Source organism: Homo sapiens, chromosome 11 (genome assembly GCF_000001405.40).
Source record: "Homo sapiens chromosome 11, GRCh38.p14 Primary Assembly".
Classification (NCBI taxonomy): Eukaryota; Metazoa; Chordata; class Mammalia; order Primates; family Hominidae; genus Homo; species Homo sapiens.
The window spans coordinates 17,538,764-17,544,763 of record NC_000011.10 but is presented as its reverse complement, the minus strand read 5'-3'; the positions used below and the strand labels follow the sequence as shown (position 1 = coordinate 17,544,763).

Here is a 6,000-nt window from a genome sequence, read left to right as displayed (position 1 = left end):
GGGGGAAAAAAAAAGAATATCCAGAGAAAACGGACTAGATTGCCCCGCCCCCCGCCCGTGTAAATAGTTTCCGTATCTCTCTATTCCGGTCCCCACAAAAAAGTCCCAAACCTCCTCCCTACGTCTCCACGATCTTCTTCCTCAAACGCATGTGTTCAGGTACCACTTCCAGAGAAATACCAGCTTGAAGCCCAGCTACTGCCACCTCAGGCCCATAGGCACACTGGGGCCCATTTGCTCCCAGGCTTCAGTGGGAGGCGACGACTCAGCACCTTCGACTCCAGCCTCGCAGCGGCCCCGCCCCACAGAGGCCTGGCCCCGCCCCTCCGCGCTCAGGCCCCGCCCCCAGCTCCGAGGGCGGCTGGCCCGGTCGCGGTCGCGGCTCTTTCCAGCTCCTGGCAGCCGGGCACCCGAAGGAACGGGTCGTGCAACGACGCAGCTGGACCTGGCCCAGCCATGGACCGAAAAGTGGCCCGAGAATTCCGGCATAAGGTCAGAGCTGCAGGGCGCCCCAGGCTTCTGGGACTCCGGAGTCCTGGGCGCGGTGGGTAGGGGGTGGACACCCCGGCACTGCCCCTCCCTTTTCCGGCCCCACCTGATGGCTCTGGTTGGGCTGGGACACCCGAGGGTCGTCTGGCTGGCAGCAGGGATCCCCAGTAAAGTGAGGGAGGGAATGCGGGGACTCCCGGCTCAAGGACTGCTAAACGAGTCGATCTTCTGCCAGCCTTTCTCCCTCTGCCTTCCAGGGGCAGGGACGTCTCTGGGGTTTGAATTCCTTCCAGTCTTGGCCGCTTTTCTGAGGTGCCCCCTTTGTGGGCAAGCCCCTCTCCTTCCTAGTGCCCCCAGCTCAGGGCTGTTGAGGCATGTGGAGACAGTCTGGGGCAGTATCTGAGAGGTGAGGGTTGGGAGAAGGGAAACTAGACGTCTCTCTCTCTGCCTTTTGACCTCAGAACATGAGTTAGAAGCATTTCAGCCCTGCCTGCCTAAGGGCGTTTCTTAGGGTCTGAGAAGTAGCTGAGGAGCTGGTGCTGACCCGGGTGCGGTGGGGAGGAAGGGAGGAGGTACTGAGGGCGTCGGAGCTGGGCTCTGGCCGGCCAGATCCTTCAGGCAGAGCCGGGTCCACCCTGGTGTGTCCCAGTGAGGGGCCTCACTGGTGGTCTGGGATTCTCAAGGACCATCTCTGGAAGTGGCCAGGTTTCACACAGGGCATTTCGAGAATGATTCACAAAGCTGTGCAGAATCTGCTGAGGCCCTGAGACCAGAGAGGGCCATCAAAGAGATCCAGCCTACTTCCCCACCAAGTCTTAGGATGCCTCTGAGTCTGGGGATGAAGCCGCTTGGGGGGGGTGGGTGGTATCTGGAGCTCCCCACAGGCCCTGCCTGAGGGGCAGGTAACTATTGATAACTTAACTATTGATAACTGTGTGACCCAAGGCTCTCCCAAAGACCCCAGGGGCAGTGTCTTTAGACCAAGCCAAACCTCTTCCTGGTTTGAGAGCTGAGCTCAGGTAGGGCAGGTCAGGGTGCTTAACTCCTTCCTTCCCATAAAGAGGCCCATAGGAGCCCAAGGAGCTAGCCAGTGTAGGGGCCACAGGGGCTTGGGGCCAAGGGCCCGGGGTCAGTTATTCATTTAATAAGCATGTTTTGAGCATCCTCTCAGCCATACCCAGTCTGTGCCCTTTGCTGGTGGTGTAGGTGGGAGGCAGACCCTACCCTGGTAATTACCCATGTCTGAGTGCTGCGTGTTGAGGCCAAGCTTTTGTAGGGGCACAAAGGGACAGCTCAAACTGGCAGAAGGCTCCTGAAAACAAGGTCTTGGGCATTTCTGGTCCTGCTCCCAGGGGTGGGTGATAGCTGGAAGTTCAGCAGGAATTTAGGGGCTGGCGAATACCAAGGGGAGCTTGAGAGAGCATTCACTGTTACATCCTGTTGCAAAGAGACATGTCGGAAGAAATTTCAGCCACTAAGGACATTTTGTGAGTGTAGATTTCAGGCAACCCAGTTTGAAGGAGCTCAGCCTTCCATCCCCCAACCCAAGACTCAGGGTTGAATTTCAGTTTCCTGCCCCTGGCCTGAAATAACATCAGGTCTTCTGCCTTCACTCTGTGGGGTACCTGCTCTCTCTTTTTTGTGAGAATCATCTCCAGGGTCCCTGGTGTCTGATGCAGATCCTGGGTTTGCCCTGTTCCTCTTCCCCAGGTCCCACAGGCTCCAAAGGGCCTCAGACCTCCACGTTTCCTCTGCCCTACTCTTCCTCATCGCAACAGTCATTACTTATTAATATCCCTGTGTGCAGGCAGGGCAGGCGCCATGCGCTAGGCAAGGCCCAGGCTGGACTTTGTGCCCTGCTGCCTTGGAGACAGCCACAGCCTTCCCCTCCCAGGTTGGGGATCATCCAGGAACTGGGGAGAGAGGATGAAGCACAGAGGATAGAAAGGAGGCACACAGACATGCTGGGAGAAATTTACAGCTTGCTGTTGTTTGCTTTGTAGGGGTCCCTTCCTTAGTGTTTTGGAAGAAATGGTTTGTGATCTAAATCCTTAGTTGTTGGAAGTAATATTTAAGGTAGTGTGTTATAATGGAAAGTGCTCTGTGACCTTGAGCAAGTTACTTAATCTCTCTGTGCCTCAGTGCTCTTACTTGTGAAAAGAGATAACAATATTTAACGAATAAGGTTACCATGAATGCTGAATGAGACCTACATGTGTGTGGGGAGCTTAAATAGACCCTGGCACTTAGGGAGCTCTCAAGAAATGTCCATGTTGATTATTATCTGGAGTTAGCAGAACTGGGACCAAATCTTAGCCCTGTCACTGTCAGGAAGACCTTGACCAAGCCACCCACTCTCCCTGAGTTTTAGTTTCTTCAGCTATGAGATGGAGTTTGTAGAACTTACCTCACAAGACAGTCAAAACTAACTAGCAATTAAAGTACTGGCTGCTCTGGGCCCACAGTAACCACACTGTTTCCAGCTGATACCTGCAGAGTGTCCAGTGGGAGCCAACAGGCTCCAGGCATCGACTCCCTTTGATTTGTGAAGTTACCCCAAGGCCGCCAGGAGCACTTGCATACCCTTCCAGTAACTAGTAGCAACCTTGGGCCAGGATGTGGGGGAGCAGGGCTTGGTCAGAGACTGTTTTCTCCCTCAGAGAACCAGCTTTCAAAGGGAGACTGCTCTTCTGTTCGCAGCACCAGCACAGGGTAGGAACTTGGTTACTCATTGGCTTAAAAGTATTTATTGCCTCTTCAGCAATCATGCATTTATGAGCATAGCTGTGTATTCTGCCTGAGGCCAGGCATCTGACAACCGGTTGGGATGAATAAGATCAGAAAGAGCCACCACTCTCTAGGAATTTGTTAATCATTCATTTATTCACATAGGCAATAAATATTGACTGAGCCCTTAATATATGCCAGGCAGTACTCTAAGCATCAAAAAACAAAATAAAGCCCTTGCTGTCTTAGACAGTACATTCCAGTAGGGAAGACAGGTAGTTAAAAGGAAATCAACAAAAGTATCATACAATGCCAGATAGTGATAAATTCTATGAAAAAATAAACTAAGATGGGGAGAGAGAGATAGTAAGTGACAAGGTAGGCAGTCACGAAGGCCTCTCTGAAGAGGTGACATCTGAGCAGAGACCTAGAAGAAGTGAGGAGAAGGAGCCACAGAGATACATGTAGAAGAGCATTCCCTAAAGTGGAAGCAACAAGTGTGAAGGCCCTGAGGCAAGCAGATGCCCGCCTGTATGGAACAGCAAGTAGGACAGTGTGTCCCAGAGGAATCGTGAGTGGAGAATGGTGAGAAATGGGTCGGAGGGGTGGTAGGGGCCTGGTAGGCCATGGTCAGGTCAGGATTTTCTTGTAAGTGTGAATGATTTACATTTAAAAGGAATTGTTCTGGCTGCTCTGTAGAGAATCCACTGAGGGGCCCAAGAGTAGAAGGGGACCTCAGTCAGGAGGCTCCTGCAGGAGCCCAGGCCAGAGGCAGGGGCTCGGACTCGGGTGAGAATGGGTCGGATTCAGGATACATGTTAAAGGAAAAACTGACAGGCTTTGCTGATGGATTGGCTGCGAGCGTAGAAAGAGAGGCATCAAGGGTGAATCCACATTTGGTGGAGACGGAGCAGGTTGGTGGAGACGGAGCAGGAGGTGGTGGAAACCTAGCGTTCCACTTCGAATGCTGTAAGTTTGAGACGCCTGCTAGAGGTGACTGAGAAGGCTGTAGGTCTGGCCTGGAGATAAGCATCGGTAGGTCCTTGGGGGTGTGAGTGGTATTTAAACCCCTGAGATGAATGAGGTCACTTAGAGAGACAGTGCAGATGGAGAGGAGACCTAGGACAGAGCCCGGGGTACCTCAACTTTTGGAGGAGAAGGAGCAGCAAGCGAGGAAGGAAAGCAAGGAGAAGCAGGGCGTGATTGCTGTGCCAGGCACAGGGTGAAATACTACAAACTAGCTGACATGTCAAGAGCCTCTGAAAAGATGAAGGGCACTGTCTATGTCCTTGATGGTGGTGATGCTTTCACACGTGCACATTTATCCCCAAACTCATCAGGTTGTATACACTAAATATATACAGCGCTTTACATGTCAGGCATACCTCAATAAAGTGGTTCCAGAAAAAGAAAAGAAGTCAGGTGTGGCGGCTCACGCCTGAAATCCCAGCATTTTGGGAGGCTGAGGTGGGAGAATCACTTGAGTCCATGAGTTTGAGACCAGCCTGGGCAACATAGCGAGACCCCATCTCTACAAAAAATACAAAAATTAGCCAGGTGTGGTGTTGTGCACCTGTAGTCCCAGCTACTTGAGAGGTTGAGGCAGGAGAATCAATTGAGCCTGGAGGTTGAGGCTGCAGTGAGCTGTGGTCACACCACTGCACTCCAGCTTGGGTGACAGAGTAAGACCTGGTCTCAAAAAAAAAAAAAAAAAGAAAAAGAAAGAAACAGAAACAGAAAGAAAAGAAAGAGAGAGAGACAGAGACAGAGACAGAGAGAACCCTAGACAAGAAAGAAAGAAAGCAAAAGAAAAAGAAAAGATGGATGATAAGAAAATGAGAGTCAAATAAAGCCTGGTACCACTGGGATGCACACTCTAAAGGCCTGGGAAGAAGTGTGGCTGGATCTATTCATCCCACTAACATCTACAGAGGGCCACTCGCTGCCCACTGCTGTGGATATAGAATTTATGTCCACTTATTGTCACTTAGTTTTATGTAACAAACACAGGACTTACTACCTGCCAGGCACTGTTCTGAACTCTTCATAATTATTAACTCATTAAATTAATACTAAAAAACAATGATTAATCTCTCATAGTGATTAAATCCCATTTTAAAAAGAGATGTTAGTCCTCATTTTACAGATAAGGAAACTGAGGCACAGAGAGGAGCAGACCCAGTTGGGGAAGGGGTTCTTTGGCTCTACCACCACACTCACAAGCCAGGCCTGTGTCTGGGCCACACACAGGCTTGTGGGGAGACAGGAGGGTAAAGGGAGAAAGTTCAGCACAGCTTGGTGAGTCCCATGGCAGAGTTGGGGACAAAGTGCTGTTGTGTGCACAGAGAAAGATGTGGCCAGCTTTGTGTGGGAGCCTAAGGAAAGACTTGGCCAAGAAGAGGCGACATTTGAAGTGAGTCTTAAAGATAGAGGAGGAGTCCACAGAGAGGAAATACTGCTGGTACCACCATTGCTAATGGCTAACCAGGGTGGCAGCAGGGAGCAGGTGGCTCGTCCAAGGGGGAAGCCAAGAAAGCTTTATGAACAGGTTCTACAGAAAAGGGCAGGATTAAATGACCCAACAAGCTGCACCCTGGGGCCAGATGCAGGAGGCCAGCATCCCTGAAGGGGCCAGTAGAGGGAAGGTTACCAGAACAGGTGAGAACCAGGGCTGCCAAAGAGGCCCAGACAGCAGCTGCAGCCTTGGGTGGAGGAACCTGCCTAACTGTGGCCCAGCAGCCAGCCCCCAGGGACTAGGAGCCTCAGTTCCTGTCTCCCCACGCC

At 51.7% G+C, this 6,000-nt stretch overlaps 1 protein-coding gene across 19 annotated transcripts in view; it reads left to right on the top strand.

Moving 5' to 3' along the window:
* The window catches only part of USH1C (USH1 protein network component harmonin), a 50,517-nt gene continuing 44,864 nt past the window's right edge, over window positions 348-6,000 (top strand). For all 19 annotated transcript variants that reach the window (NR_123738.2, NM_001297764.2, NM_001440687.1 and 16 more), the window contains exon 1: window positions 348-492. Coding sequence is in view for 18 of the 19 variants with exons in the window: in NM_001297764.2 (NP_001284693.1) it covers window positions 457-492 (36 nt within the window). In the remaining variant the exon portion in view is untranslated. The remainder of the gene's footprint in view (window positions 493-6,000) is intronic.